The sequence below is a fragment of the Homo sapiens genome, chromosome 4, assembly GCF_000001405.40.
Source record: "Homo sapiens chromosome 4, GRCh38.p14 Primary Assembly".
Taxonomy (NCBI): Eukaryota; Metazoa; Chordata; class Mammalia; order Primates; family Hominidae; genus Homo; species Homo sapiens.
In genome coordinates, this window is record NC_000004.12 from 94,117,264 (window position 1) to 94,134,357 (window position 17,094).

The 17,094-nt window shown below is 37.8% G+C and overlaps 1 long non-coding RNA gene across 1 annotated transcript in view; it reads right to left on the reverse strand.

Annotated features, from left to right (window-relative positions):
• Positions 1–556: 556 nt before the first annotated feature.
• Positions 557–17,094, reverse strand: part of SMARCAD1-DT (SMARCAD1 divergent transcript) — an 89,737-nt gene continuing 73,199 nt past the window's right edge. The window contains exons 7-9 of the long non-coding RNA NR_125922.1: positions 7,638–7,779; positions 1,518–1,648; positions 557–838 (exon numbers count right to left, since the gene is read on the reverse strand). This is a non-coding gene — a long non-coding RNA (SMARCAD1 divergent transcript). The remainder of the gene's footprint in view (positions 839–1,517; positions 1,649–7,637; positions 7,780–17,094) is intronic.

A 17,094-nucleotide genomic window follows, 5' to 3' on the forward strand; every position in this document is an offset into this window, starting at 1 on the left:
AGATATTAATTATATAATGAAGACCTTAATTTGTACTCTAAAACATAATCACAGTATCATCCAGTAAAATTTTATTTCCTGAGATTGACCTCACATCTAGAATTTTTTAATACAATCTTATTCCACAGTATAAAAATATGCTAATGTCAAATTCAGAGACTGTAATTATTATTTAAATTAGATGCCTATAGAGAAATCACCTTATGGAGAGTAGGTTGTTTACAATGGAATTTATGAGAAGACAACTGTAAACAGAGAAAGCTTTGGAGATGCAACTTTGCCCCTGAAATACCAAATGATATTTTCCTCGGTGAAATGTTAAACAATGTGCCTTCAACAATAAACTGACAATGCCTTTCCTGAGGCTTGTGGTGTGGTCACGGTGTTGATCTTGCCTTTTCTTCTTAATGTGCTCCCATACCAGAGACATTACAATGGTCATTCACAAAAACTACAGTACGGAGAAGTTTAAGATGTTTTTTCTGTAATGTTTTTTTCTTCCAACTGCAGCTGGGAGTTTACAGCTGGTGTCTTTTTTTTTTTTTTTTTTTTTTTGGTTACCTGAATGGATTTCCGCTTAACTGTACCAGCTTGCCATTCATTGCAGCAATAGGTCCAATCAGAATATTTTAGTATCTTCTGGCTTCTGAGTTACCTTTTACTCTTCAAACAGTTTTAAGGCTAGTTTTGCTAATGTGAATATTTTGTTCTTTAATGTCTTAGTAATATTCCTTTATAATTATCTGAAACCCATATAATAACTAATACTTGCAAACAAAAATGATTGAGTAAATTTTAACTAGGGTCTATTTGTAGGAAATTTTTCTTTTCAAATTGGCTATAAACAGAAAAGAGATTATTAAAAATAGAATTAACCACAGATAGCTTCCTAATATTGCAGCTGTAAATGTTTATGATAGTTACAGAAATTGGAAAAAAAAATGAGGCATAAAATAACTAAAATTAGGCTCTCTGCTTCTTAGTCTATATTCTATCTGGGACTAGCGATGCAAATGACAGTCCAAGGCCACTACTAGGATTGTCCAAAACCAAATACTAAAACAGCATAAACAAGTGTTTTAATGACTCTGTAACATGCATTTTTATAAAAACAATCGCTACCATTTATGAAGTTTTTCCTATGTGCCAGGCATTATATATAATACTTTATATTGTATTAAATTGTATTAAATTATATTAAATTAATTCACACATTATAAAGCCTATTGGTGTATATATAAATAGGCCCATTTCACACTGAGGAAACTAGTGATTAGGCAGGCTGGGTAAATTATCTAAGATCTGAAATGATCAAGTAGAATTTGAATTCACATCTTCCTAACTTCAAAACCCTTGCTTTTGTATGCTGTATTATACAGCTTCTCCATATGTACATAATTGGATAGTCATCACCTGTGGATTTTTTATATACTACTATCCAAATATTTTCCCTTGGAAGATTTCTCCTGGCATTTGTTAACATTGGCTTTGATTTACTTGACAAACTTCATACTTACCTGATAAGTGACCTTGGGTATCATTTTATCTCTGAATTTCAACATCTCTCTGATCTCCAAAACAAGGTAAATGAACTGGATAGGTCTCTACAAGTCTGTATCAGTTAGCTTCTACATCATAACAAACTATGCTAGAAAAAAAAAAACTTATGTATGTATTCACTCATGATTTGGGGGTAAGAAAACTGGGTTGAACTCAGACAATGGCTCTTGTGCTAGCCTTGGGTGGGCTCAATCATGTATCTGGGGTAATCGACCATCTCAGTTTTCCTGCCAAATGAAGATGAGTTGGACACCCTACATGTGTCTCTGATCAGCTGGTATTCAAAGTTTTACTCTCATGTAGGGAGACCAGTTGATTGTCTACTGAAGCAACATGGTAAGTGAGCCATGAACCTGATCATCCTGCCAGGCTTGCCAGGCTTATTGATATTGTAGTAGATATAGGATTCACAAGACCAGCAAGAGAGGCAAGCCCCCAAAAGCCAAGTCCCTATCTCTATTACATTTGCTACTCTCCTACAGTTCAAAGCAAGTCACATGGCCCAGATTCAAGTCATGAAGAAATAGATTCCACTCTTAGTGGGAGGAAATGCAACGTTACACTCTAAAAAAAGTAGGGGGGGGGAGAGTATAAAATAAAAGGGGGGGGAGAGTATATAAATGGATGGAAAGAAATTGTAGCCATTTTTATAATCTACTACAAGATCATTTCCTGCCCTAAAATCAGAATTTCTATGTTCATCTACAAGCTCTATGTCAAAAAACCCATGTGAGTAACGGAATTCAAATAACAGCAATTATAGTTTACTTCAGCCAGTTCCAGCTGCTATAATAGAATACCACAGATTGGCTAGTTCAGACAACAGAAATTAATTTATCACCGTTCTGGAGGCTGGAAAGTCCAAGATCATGGTGCCAGTATGGTCAGATTCTGGCGGGGGTCCCTTTTCTGATTTGCAAATGGCCTTCTTTTTGTTGTATTCTCACACAGTGGGGAACAGAGAGAGGGGGGAAGCTCTCCTGTTTCTTCTTGTGACAGCACTAATCCCATTCATAAGGCCTCCATCCTCGTGATGTACTCACCTTCCAAAGGCCCCACCTCCTAATTCCATCACATTGTGGGTGATTTCCACATATTTCAACATACAAGTTTAAGAGAAACACAAACATTCAGTCCATAACATAATCTGTCTGTGGCTATACTGCTCTAAATAATAAGTAAACAATGTAGCTAGTTTAACTTGTCCCAAAACTGGTTATTCCATTGGATGAGTTTGTTTGGACCCCTTATGTGGGAAGTGGACAAGGGTTAAGTTTGCAATTATGATCTTAACATCATCTTTCTTCTTTTAACTTCTGTTAAGATTAAGTATGAAAATACATTCAAAACCAGGATATCTACACTGAATAGCATTTTTTATGTAGTTTACAGTGTGATCTAAAGGGGCCCCAAAAGGCTCAGGGACCCCAGGCTCATAACTGAGGGCAACCCAACAATAATTGCTTCCCCAATTAGAAAGTTCTTTGCAAAATGAAAGGAAAAAAATGCTAAAAAGGTAGTTTTTCATAAAGTGAAATGGATTGGATTATATTTATAACTAATGTATAAGTATACAAGTACCATATATCTACACATACAAAAATTTATGTATATTGCATATATAACATATTTTTTATATAGTACTTATAATTTTTCTCACTTGTTATACAGCAGTCAGGCAGATAATGCAAATGGGTGAAATGAGAGAAGTATCTTGGTGCAATTTTTAAAAACAGCCTGAGGGGATATAGCAAAATGGAAGCAGAAGTTTCATTTAAAGGAAGAAACTAAGTTCTTGGTCTAGGTAATTATTTCCAAATAGAATCAAGGCTCACTGTTCCTTTTTGTTTTTAAAGAGAAGCCAGAGCCAGGCGCAGTGACTCACACCTGTAATCCCAGCACTTTGGGAGGCCGAAGCAGGTGGATCACTTGTGGTTGGGAGTTGGAGACCACCTGACCAACTTGGAGAAACCCCATCTCTACTAAAAATACAAAATCAGCTGGGCGTGGTGGTGCGCACCTGTAATCCCAGCTACTTGGGAGGCTGAGGCAGGAAAATCGCTTGAACCTGGGAGGCAGAGGTTGCAATGAGACGAGATCCCGCCAACGCACTCCAGCCTGGGCAACAAGAGCGAAACTCCGTCTCAAAAAAAAAAAAAAAGAAGAGAAACCAGACGTAGACATTTTTTGTGCCAGGAATAATTTCTCAATTTTAAGATACTGAAAACTGAATTTTTTAAACATGTTTTTAACAGTGCAAGCTAAACAGTATACATCTAGTGCTGAATTCAGGCCACGGGCACCAGTTTTCAACTTCTATAATAGTTGTTACTGTGGATTATTTCCTTACTTGTCAATGTAGAAAGTTGGGACAAATATTTTGAGGAGATTTATTGGTCTGTGTAGGTTTTCCAAGCACAGTATATTTGTTATCTCTTGCTGTGTTATGTATTACTACAAATTTAACAGCTTAAAACACCCATTTTTCTTACCTGAATCCGTAGTTTAGAAGTCCAGCATGGCACTGCTGGTTCTCTGTTCAGTGTCCTACAAGGCTGAAGTCAAGGCATTAATGGGACTGCAATCTTACCTAAGTTTCAGGCTCCTTTACTAAGCTCACTGGTTACTAGCAGAATTCAGTTCCTTGCAGTTGTAAGCCTGAGGTCCTCCTTTCTTGGAGGCTGCCAAGTGGTGGCCCTTCTCAGTTGTCACTCAGGCTGGAGTGCAGCGGCACGATCTTGGCTCACTGCAACCTCCGTCTCTGAGGTTCAAGTGATTCTCCTGCCTTAGCCTCCCAAATAGCTGGGATTACAGGTGCCTACCACCACACCTGGCTAATTTTTGTATTTCTAGTAGAGATGGTGTTTCACCATCTTGGCCAGGCTGGTCTTGAACTCCTGACCTCGTGATCCACCCGCCTCGGCCTCCCAAAGTGCTGGGATTACAGGCATCAGCCACCACGCCCTGCTCCTTCTCAGCTTTCAGAGGCATCCCACAGTTGCGTGTCACATGGCCCTCTCCACAACATGACAGCATGCTCCTGTAAGGCCAGGAGAAAAATCTCTCCACCTTATTTAAGCACTTAACTTGATTAGGTCAGGCCTACCCTCAATCAACTGACTAGGGACCTTGATTACATCTGCAAAATCCCTTTTGCCAGGTAATGAAACATAATCAAGGAGTGACGTCCCATTATATCCACAAGTCCCAGCCTCATGCAAGCAGAAGGGATTATTCAGAACGTGTGCACCAGAGGATGGGAATCTTGAAGGACATCTTAGAATCCTGCCTACCACATATGGCAAACACTAGTTTATAATTCTCTTGTATAAGAATTTCTATTCTTCTGTTTTGTCATTAGCTTTTAGTGAAAAATGATCTAAGATACAGTCTAAAAAAGATACAGTCTTTTTTTTCCCCCTTGAGATGGAGTTTCACTCTTGTCGCCCAGGCTGGAGTGCAATGGCACAGTCTCTGCTAACTGCAACCTCCCTGGTTCAAGCAATTCTCCTGCCTCAGCCTCCCAAGTAGCTGGGATACAGGCACGTGCCACCACATCTGGCTAATTTTTGTATTTTTAATAGAGATGAGGTCTCACCATGTTGGTCAGGCTGGTCTCGAACTCCTGACCTCAGGTGATCCACCTACCTTGGCCTCCCAAAGTGCTGGGATTACAGGCATGAGCCACCATGCCTGGCCTAATCTAAGATATAGTCTTTTAAAAAACTGTTTCTTGGGACAGGCGCAGTGGCTTATGCCTGTAATCTCAGCACTTTGGGAGGCCGAAGCAGGCAGATCACGAGGTCAGGAGATCGAGACCATCCTGGCTAACATGGTTAAACCCCATCTCTACTAAAAATACAAAAAAATTAGCCAAGTGTGGTGGCACGTGCCTGTAGTCCCAGCTACTCGGGAGGCTGATGCAGGAAATTGCTTGAACCCGGGAGGCAAGGGTTGCAGTGAGCTGAGATGGTGCCACTATATTCTGTTGTCCCTTTATGGAGTTCTATGTGAGAAATTTCTTGTAAAGCTTACTAGGAGATGTCTTGCTTTTCCTGAAAAAATAAGATTTTTTTTCTCTTTTACACTAGAAATATATAATGGACTTTATCTCTTTTCCCTTTGGCTGCCTTGAAGCTCAAAGCCAATCTAAATGGACCTTTTTTGTCCGTATACAGTGGAGGAAAATTCCTCCCTATTCTTAAATTCTTATTCATATTTTTATAGTGCTGGCTTTAGTTCTTGATTTTATATATATGTTTTCTCTGTGCTCATCTCAAATAAAAAAGAAGAAACATGACAAATATATAGATTAGATAGATAAAAGAGGGATAGAAAAATAATAAATTAAAGATAAATGGAATAACTAGTGATAAGAGAAAGAGACAAAGTAATGATCATGTATTCTTCCCATTTTATAGGCTACCTATTCAATTCCATAAATGTGTATACCTGTCCTTGTACCAATATCCCACCATTTTATTTTAATAGCACTATAAGACTTTATTGTCTAGCAGGGCCTTGTTTTCACATTGCAAAATTTCTTTCGCAAAAAAAAATCAGTGATAAAATCAACAATAATCGATGACTTTAAATATTAATTTTAGCATTTAATATTCACTAATAAATTCTCTTCACTTTGAGCTCTTAATCAATTTTGTACTCTTTTGGAATATATTGGGTCTGATGCCTTATAGATGTGACTTGGCCAAAATTTTGGAGGTATGATCCTTTCCTTGCTACATTCATATCTCTCTACATGCATTAGGCCAGTTTTAAATCCACAGAGCTTATATCTTTTTCAGACTATTTCTACCTTGCACTTATATAACCATATTCATTTGGCATTAGACTCCATCCTTTTATTATATGTGAACTGTTCACCTCATATAAGGTCTCAGAAGAATTTAAGCATTAGACCTGGGATGGAGAGAGACAGAAAGGACTTGAAGGAATTAATGGTGATCCCATAAGGAAAGTGGAACATTTCATACAAAATTTGGGTTCACCTATACACTTCTTGGAGAACCCGGTGAGAATGCCAACTCACAACAAGACATTGTTTGGGACAAATATGTTCTGGGAAACAACTAAGCTCAAACTTGTTTGCCATCAGTTTAGTGATGATCTTGGAAGGAAGAGTAATATTTCCTTTAGGGTAATTTTGAGGACCGGCCAAATCTTAAACCTAAGAGGTAAACTGCTAAAGATTTAACTTCTATTTTCTCACCATTTTTATAGATAGTTGGTTGAGTCTGCTGACTGTTGGGCAGGGTAGTGGCGAGGGACAATAGGCACAGAAGAGCAAATACAGATAATGATATTTACTGACCCAGGGAAACCAAAAAGGCAATTTGAGTGCCCAAGATCTAGGCCCTTCTTGTCTTCGAGAAAGATATAAAGAACTTTATGACTTTCTAAGTCCTCCTTTTGTACTCAAAGACCTGGAGGGAATGTGTATACATAGTAAGGAGGTAATGAATATTATTATTATAAAAAATATAATTATTCAAATCACTCTTCTATAATATACACATACCTATAGAAAAAGTATCAACACTAACTTACTGTACTCCAACTTGAGACCTTACTGAAATATCCTATTAATACTTCTGTATTGTTAGAAGAGTTGAACAGTGAAGTGTTCTACTATTAGGGTTTTCAATTTTTTTTTTTTTTTTTTTGAGACGGAGTTTTGCTCTGTAGCCCAGGCTGGAGTGCAGTGGCGCCATCTCGGCTCACTGCAACCTCCACCTCCCGGGTTCAAGCAATTCTCTGCCTCAGCCTCCCGAGTAGCTGGGATTACAGGCACCCACCACCACGCCCAGCTGATCTTAAACTCCTGACCTCATGATCCATCCACCTCGGCCTCCCAAAGTGCTGGGATTACAGGCGTGAGCCACCGCGCCCGGCCAGGGTTTTAAATTTTTAAGATATTACTGATTGCTTAAGGAGAGCATCCCCCCCACCCCAAGACATACACCAGGCTGCTGCCCTGCACCCTTGACCTAATTTTTTAGCAGGATCCAGATCTAAACACATTCTAACTTTCATCAACGTGCAGCCGTGTATCTTACCTCTAACTTTTAAAAAGAATTCTGAGGACTTCATTTATTATTCTCCTCAATGCCTAGATGATGCAAACCATATTCTTGCTGCTCAGTTACATTGACTGCCAGCAATTTTTTTTCTGGATGATTTCTGATACAGATACATTTCCTAGAAAATGAGAGGGTTAAAGTTAAAGTGTATCATTAAGGCAGAATCCACTTAACTCTTAGAATTCAATGGAAATAAGTTACAGGACAAATTATAGTATCTCTACCATACTTTCATCTTTCAGATGAGGAGAAAAAGTGTTTTTTGGGGACTCCAAGTCCCCAAGATTTCTTCATTTCTAAATAGCCCTTTGGGCTTTTTAATGTATACTATTAAATAGTTAATAGTGTATACTATTAAAGATACTCATAGAGACACTAGAATTTACAGACAAAATCTGTTCTTAGATCAGCTTTTAGGAGGTGTCAGAATTATCTCGCTTTGTTTACTTGAGCCCTTTAAACAGAGCCATGTTTGGATTAATTTATTTCTTCAAGTTTCCTTGGGAAAATGACCACAAATTGTTTAAGTTTCCCACTTAATGAAGTATTTAACAACAGATGCTATGTTTGTGGGAAAAAATTACTAGGAATGAAAAAACGGTAATTTATTTTGATAACCTCCTATTGTATATATACAGATTATCTAGATTTTCCAATCAAAGCAATTGCATTGATTTGTTTGCTTTTTGTTTGCTGTTGTCGTTGTTGTTTTAGATTGAAGATCTGTTTGGTATTTTCCTCCTCTCTAGAATTGATTGGCCAATAGTTTAGTTTAGTTTATGTCAGTTACAGAGAGAAACAGGGGTGAAGAAGAGAGAGAGTCTTCCATACGGGTTACAAAGAAAGGGACTGATCTGAAAATTAATTTTCAAAACACATTAATTTAGAAAAAAATACACACTAAGCGGTAAAATTCACTAGCTACTTCAACAACTGAAGTCAGATTAGGTGCAGTTTTTTAAATTCACTGCAGATTTCTTAGTGATTAGATATAGTGATGAAATCCTCAAAAGATTTTGGAAGTAGGGAAAACACAGTGCCATAAAGTTATAATTGCTCTAGGGAAAAATTGCTTAGGTGACTGGTAATCTGGAGGAAGACAGAAGACTGGCCTCACACTATCACATGATTAAGATACATTATTTATTTTATATCATCAAATGCTAATCTCAGGTTCAATTTCCATGGAGATGTCATAAATGACAATTCACAGCTACATCAAATACTTGTGGTTCAAGTTCAGTGTAAATATTCTCAATACTTAGTAGTCCTGTTAGCCTTGTTTCATAACATGGAGTGGGAGCTTGTGGGATAATGCCTTGTACTTCTCCTATTTACTGATTTCTATTCATTTTATTATTGAATTCAACCTACGAAAAATGTCAAAGAAAACGGAAAGACTGTTATTTTTTTCCATTTTAATGATCTCTGAAAACAAAATAAATGTCAGTGTCTCTAAAGACAATTTAGTCAGTTTCATTCAACGTAGTTTTCCAAAAAGTTAAGTTACTTCTCCTTATTATATTTTTTAAAAAATTGGCCTTTCTATGTTTTTCTTGAGGGAGGAAATAGAGAATATGTATACAAAATGAAAAAAATAACATGTAAATTTAAAAATCAAATGGTCGGAAGAAAAAAGTCTTTAGCTGTCATCACAACACACACACACACACAGTGCTCCAAAATGAGGGATGTTAACTCTGACTTGATCTTTAAAGTCAGCAAATATAATTCTCTGTACTTGTGCCTAAGAATCTCAGCAGAACTTTATAACGTACCACTACTAAGCAAATTTTGGATGATTAGGTATATCATAGTAGGAGCGAAAGAATGTAAGGGAAAAGACAATTGAGTTGGGGTCCTGTTACCGTTACCAAATACAGTAGCATCTGCATAAAGCTTGTCAGGAGTCAAAGTACTGCTTAACTCAGCAAAGGAAGTGTGGCATCTAGTGGACATTTAGTTTCTGCAATATTTTTCTGTATTTTGCAGAGAAATAGATCTGATACATGATAGATCTTTGTGGTTTAATGGTTTTGTCGTGATTGTTTTTGTTGTTTTAAACAAGTCATGTTTTTATTTTCCACATTGTCTGATTTTTTTAAATGAATTTGGCAGTAAAATTCAAGCTGCTCATATAAAAATAAATTGTTTAGGACCTATAGTTCTACACAGTGATACTTTTCTGTGTGCTTACTTTTTATTTTGAAAATTATTGCAACCTAAGTTTCTTAAATTATACTTACATGACATAAAATATTTTTATTTTTCTTGTAATATTTTCACAAAATATGAAAATGCTTTCACATTTGTTAGAACATTTTGTGAACTATGCAAAATATACTGCTTCATATCATGAAAATCTTACAAATCAGAGATTTCAAGTAATAACAGAGATAGTGAACTTAAAATTCACAGAGTCCTAAGATACACATGAACTTTATTTTGGAAAACAATATTTTCAAACCATGGCATTTTAAATTACAGAATTACAAAAATGTTGTAGGCTTTATTAATTTTAAGTTATTCACTGATAAAGTTGTCCCAATAAACAACATTGTTCCAATAAAATCTTCTGTATATTTATCATGACCCCAAATACATTCACATACTACATTATAGAGTCATATTTCAAAATTCACCTTCATCTTCTTGTCAAATAAGTCAAGGTTTTTAAAAAATGTATAAATGTGGTATTTATTAAAAGTTGAGCAATTTCAAAATAGTTTATTGTTTTTCTAAGAATTGATAAATTTTCAAGTTATCAAAGACTCTTGGCAAGCTTTAGCTTTACTCTAAAATATTATATGTCTAATATTGACTCCCCAATATTTTCATACATTTGCTTGTATATCCTGATAGAGTTAGCCTTTTAGAAATAGGAAACACTGAAGACTAATTTGTGATTTCAAGTGGGCCATCTGAAATGGCTTGGGTTTTTCACCACCTGGAGAAATAATAGAAGCATATATTCTGTTCGTGGTTTGGTCCCCCCTAGTGGACATCAAGTAACACTGTAAATTAAAATTCTTACGTAATAATCCAGTGGTCAAAGTAATAGAGACTAGTTGTAGGTTAAACTGAGGAACTAAAATGGTCATGTTCCTGTGATACATGTGTGATACAGTTCACACATAACTTAGTATCTTTCCATCTATTGTTCAAAATGTGGAGGAAAGACCCTTAAATAATCTGTAAATCCATGAAGAAAATTATATACTCCCAAAGTTAATGTCTTAATGACTTGAGAAAATTTGAAATAAGACACTTATTTACTTGGAAACCCTCTTGTTCATTTCTGAGGTAGATAAATAATCATCTATACGTTGTTCCATGAGACTTTTGTAAATTTGGAAATATCTCTTCTGCTTCCTAAAAGACACCTCACTCTAAAAGTTTTGCAGTGGCTTCTTAAGTGCACAATAGTATTTCTTAAAGGGAAAGCTCTGTGTTCCCTTATAATGATATCCCTTTGCACATAATCTTCCACATCTTTCTGAAATAAATGAATAAATGAGAAAATTTAATGGAAAGACTCAGTGAATGTTTAAGGTAATATTTGTGTTTAACAAAATTTGCTGTTAATCTACCATTTCTAAAAAACACGTTATTCCTGACCTTAGGGACATACAGTAAACTAAATGAATAGTTATTTTATCTCTTTAAATTTAGCAGCCAGGAGTGGTGGCTCATGCCTGTAATCCCAGCACTTTGGGAGGCCAAGGCGGGCAGATTGCCTGAGGTCAGGAGTTCGAGACTAGCTTGACCAACATGGTGAAACACTGTCTCTACTAAAAATACAAAAATTAGCCAGGTGTGGTGGCAGGCACCTGTAATCCCAGCTACTTGGGAGGCTGAGGCAGGAGAATCGCTTGAACCCAGGAGACAGAGGTTGCATTAAGCCGAGATTGCTCCACTGCACTCCAGCCTGGGTGACAGAGCAAGACTTCATCTCAAAAAAAAAAAAAAAAAAAATTAAATTTAGCAAACATTCTAGCTAATTTTCACAACTCCTTACCAAAAAAAAAGCAGAAATAAGGTTTAATGATTTCAAACTTTCTGAATATTCAATTTACCTTAGAAAAGACAATAAAAATAGTCAAAAAGTTTATAGTGGTAAGCCTGCACATTAGGATCTTGGAAAGGTCATCTTCATAGAGCAAAAGAATTCCTAGAAACAAGACTTTAGGACAATTAAAATGAGCAAAATTTAGTTATAATGACTATAATGTTAGCAAAGGTATACTTTGAAAAAAGGTGACGGTCTCAAGCTATGAAAATATTCATACACTTTTTCTTAAGAACTGTTGTCTTGGAAATTTGTCCCAACAGAAAGAAAATTAGAGAGAATGCTGTAAACATCAAAATATTGCTCACAGCATTATAAAGTAAGAAATTAGAAACAACCTAAACAACAAAAGAAGAATGATTATGTGATTATGAAACTAGGTGAAATTTACTAAAATGCCTATTATTATGAAAACTTAATGGCATTATAAATAAACACATTAAAAATAAAATTAGGCAATTTCTTGGGAATTAATTTTAGAATTTTTTTTTCATTTCTTTCAGCGTGAAAAAGAAAAAGTTAAAAAAAAAAAGCAGGAAAAAAAGACTACAAAATACTTAGGTTAAGTAGGGTTTTTGTAGGTAGAAGGAAAAAAGTGATGAACTGCCAGAGCTTGTGTTTTCTTCAGCATCCAAGAAACATCCTCTGCACCAGAAAGTCAATGTTTCTGTAGCTGATGGAGTGATAATGAAAATGAGTACACAGGGCCAGGTGCAGTGGCTCATGCCTGTAATCCCAGCACTTTGGGAGGCCGAGGCAGGCAGATTACTTGAGGTCAGGAGTTTGAGACCAGCCCAGCCAACATGGTGAAATCCCGTCTCTACCAAAAAATAACAAAAATTAGCCGTGCATGGTGATGCATGCCTGTAGTCTCAGCTACTAGGGAGGCTGAGGCAGGAGAATCCCTTGAACCCGGGAGGCAGAGGTTACAGTGAGCCCAGATGGCACTACTGCACTCCAGCCTGGGTGACAGAGTGAGACAATGTCTCAAAAAAAAAAAAAAAAAGAAAGAAAGAAAGAAAAAAAAGAAAAGAAAAGTGAGCACACAGCACATGGTTGTCATATAGCTAGACTATGCTCATGAGTTCAAGGCCTGCATACCCTTAGTTCACGATGAGATCCCCCAAGTATACAAGATGTTGAAGGATGAAAAGAGAAGGAAAGAAGGAAAAAGGAAGGGAGGGCGGGGAGGAGTGAATGGAGTTGCTCTGTGACATTGGGAATGGGAGGGATTGCTCTACTTTGGCCATTTCAGCACTCTCCTATGCAAGCAGCCATGGCAAAATGCTGTAACGTAACACAAATGCATTTTATACACATAGCTGCAAATTATTTTAGTATTTAGTATTAGCTGGGGCTCAGAAAATACTACCCCAACAACTTTGAGCTGAAAGAGATTGGGAGGGCCTCAGAAGCAAGATGGTCACCCTGACCTTCCCCTACCTTTCTGTGTGAGAGCTGGCCATAAAGAAAAGAAAAGAAAAGAAATTCTCTGACCTACCTTCTGTGAAAGTAGGTCATAAGACCCTCATTCCAGGGAGGTCCTGCCCCATACTTTTTTTTTTTTTAAAAAAAAAAGGTCTAGGGTCTCACTCTACAGTGCAATGGCGCCATCACAGCTCACTGCAGCCTTGACCTGCCCGCCCCATACTTTAGGGAAAGGAATCCTGCACAGAGAGGCCAAGAAGAATCTGAATAGACAGGCCTTCCTGGGTTTCCCCTGCTCAATCTATTACCATTAGATCATACTCTTTTATCCAATCATATTTCTACACTGCTGTTTATTTTTCATCAAACCTAACCATAGAAATAAACAGTTTTCCCTGGGTCTTTGGGTCTTCATTTCTGAAGGCTCCTGTGTCACATAAAACTTTGATAACGTAAATGTGTTATGCTTTTCCCTTGTTAACCTGTCTTTTGTTATAGGAGTTTCAGCTGTTACCCTGATGGTGAATTAGGAAAGGTGTCCCACATTGGGACGCCTACACCACAGGATTTCTTTAGGTCTCAGGTATGAGAGCCTTATGTAATGTCTAAAGCACTACACAAACATGGTAGCAGTATTAGTAGAGTAGTACCCCCTTCTTCGTGGAGGATATGTTCCAAGACTCCGGGTGGATGCCTGAAACCATAGATAGTACTGAATCCTATATAGACCATGTTTTTCCTATACATACATACCTATGAAAAAGTTTAATTTCTAAATTAGACATAGTAAGAGATTAACAATAACTAATAATAAAATACAATAAAATAAAAAACAATTCTAATAATATTCCAGCATCACTTCTCCTGCACTGCAGGGCCATTATTAAGCAAAATAAGAGTTGCTTGAATACAACAACTGTGATGCTGTGTCAATCAATCTGCTGAGAGGGCTAAAGCAAATAACAGGCAGGCAGCCGGTCGCAGCCGCAGTGTGGATATGCTGGGGAAAGGGATGATTCACGTCCTGGGAGGGAGACAGCAGGATAGCAAAAGATTTTATCACACTATTCAGAACAGTGTGCAATGGAAGACCACAGAATTTATTATTTCTACAATTTTTCATTTAATATTTTCAGACTACAGTTGATCACAGGTAACAAACAGCAGAAAGCAAAACCGCACAGAGGGGGAACTACTGTACTGCTGTTTTTGCAGCAGCAATAATAGCTGGGACTTAGAGAGTGCTTACAAAAAAATATAGATGCAGTTTTAAGTGGTATACATACCTAAATTAGTTCATTTAATCCTTACAACAACCTTACAATGTGGGTTCTATTTTATCCTTATTTTACATATAGGAAAATGAGGCACAGAGAGAGGTTAACTGCCCAAAGCCACACAATTAGGAAATGGTAGAGTAAGGTTTTAGCCAGTAGTCCTAACTCATAAATCTGTGTGCTTCACCTCTGAGTCTCTTGAAAATAATATTAGTAATACAGGAATAGTAATAAGAATCTGATACGGAAATGCAGTCACGGGCTACAGAATGACATTTCAGTCAATGATGAACCGCATATACGACAGTGGTCTCATAAGATTATAACGGAGCCGAAAAATTCCTATCACCTAGTGACGTCTAGCTGTCATAAAGTTGTAGCACAGTTACTATTTTTACAAATTTAGTGTAGCTTAGGTGTACAGTGTTTCTAAAGTCTATGCTAATGTACAGTGATGTCCTGGGCCCTTACATTCACACACCAATCACTCACTGACTCACCCAGTGATATAGTCTGGATGTTTCCCCTCTAAATCTCATGTTGAATTGTAATCCCCAATGTTGGAGGTGAGGCCTGGTGGGAAGTCATTGGATCTTGGAGGCAGATCTCTCATGATGTGGTGCTGTCCTCACAATAGTGAGAGAGTTTTCATGAGATCTGGTTGTTGAAAAGTGTGTGGCTGCAAGGAGCTGTCGCTGACGCCTGTAATTGCAACACTTTGGGAGGCTGAGTTGCGCAGATGGCTTGAGCTCAGGAGTTTGATACCAGCCTGGGCAACATGGCAATACCTTGTCTCTACAAAAATAAAACAAAATAGCCGGTCTTGGTGCTGCACACCTGTAGTCCCAGCTACTCAGGAGGCTGAGGTGGGAGGATTATTTGAGCCTGGAAGTTCATGACTTCAGTGAGCCAAGATCATCCCACTGCACTCCAGCCTGGGCAACCAAGCAAGACCCTGTCTCAAAATAAATAAATAAATAAAATGTAAAAAACATAAAAAGTGTGGGGCACATTTTCCCCCCACCCCCCACCACTGTCTCTTGCTCCCACTCTTGCCATATAATACACTGCCTCCCTCTTTGCCTTCCACCATGATTGTAAGCTTCCTGAGGCCTCACCCAAGGCCAAGCAGATGCCCGGCACCATGCTTCCTGTATAGCCTGCAGAACTGAGAGCCAATTAAACCTCTTTTCTTTATAAATTACCCAGTCTCAGATTTTGGGTTTGTTTTGTTTTGTTTTGTTTTGTTTTGTTTGAGATGGAGTTTCCCTCTGTCGCCCAGGCTGGAGTGCAGTGGCTTGATCTCAGCTCACTGCAACCTCAGCCTTCCAGGTTCCGGCAATTCTCCTGCCTCAGCCTCCCAAGTAGCTGGGATTACAGACACATGCCACCATGTCCAGTTAACTCTTTGCTTTTTTGATTTATTTTTGTTGGGGGGGGGGGGATGGAGTCTTGTTCTGTCGCCCAGGCTGGAGTGCAGTGGTGCGATCTCGGCTCACTGCAAGCTCTGCCTCCCAGGTTCACGCCATTCTCCTACCTCAGCCTCCCGAGTAGCTGGGACTACAGGTGCCCTCCACCACACCCAGCTAATTTTTTTGTATTTTTAGTAGAGACGGGGTTTCACCGTGTTAGCCAGGATGGTCTCAATCTCCTGACCTCGTGATCCGCCTGCCTCGGCCTCCCAAAGTGCTGGGATTACAGGCGTGAGCCACAGCGCCCAGCCAATTTTTTGTATTTTTAGTAGAGACAGGGTTTCACCATGTTGACCAAGCTGGTCTCGAATTCCCGACGTCAGGTGATCCACCTGCCTCGGCCTCCCAAAGTGCTGAGATTACAGCCATGAGCCACTGCGCCCTGCCTCAGGTATTTCTTTATGGCAATGCAATAATGGCCTAACACACCCAGCAACTTCCAGTCTAGTAAGCTCCATTTATGGTAAGTGCCCTATACAGTTCTACCATCTTTAAACTTTTATATCATATTTTTACTGTACCCTTTCTGTGTTTAGATACACAAATACTTACCATTGTGTTATAATTGCCTATAGTATTCAGTTCAGTGACATACTATACAGATTTGTAGCCTAGGAGCAATAGACTATGCCATATAGCCTAGGTGTGTAATGGACTATGCCATCTAAGTTCGTGTAAGTACACCTTATGATTGATGTCCACATGACAAAATCACCTAACTACACAATTCTCAGGATGTAACCCTGTCATTCAGCAACACATGACTGCTTATTAAGTGTATACAGTAGAACTAATTATTATAACCCAATTTTGGATAAATTCTACTTTAAAATAACAAATATCACTAACATACATTGTAGACACTGATATTATGTTTTAGATTCATTTTCACATTTGAGAAACCAACCAGCAAAAAAATGCCCTCTTGCAGAATCACTGTTTCTATATGTTAATATTTAAAATGAAACAAAAAATATGAAAAGGCTCTGCACCAACTTTTAACAAGAAAATAATGTATTTAATCCAAGATCTTCATTTATTTATTTTTTAAACTGGTTTTTTTAAGTAGTGAACCCCTTATAATCTTTCAAAGACATTGGATTAAAGGGAGATTTATCTTTTTCTTTAAAAACAGCTTGCATGTAAAAGTCTGGAAATTCCCCAGCTCTGGGTGATAAAAGTTCAAG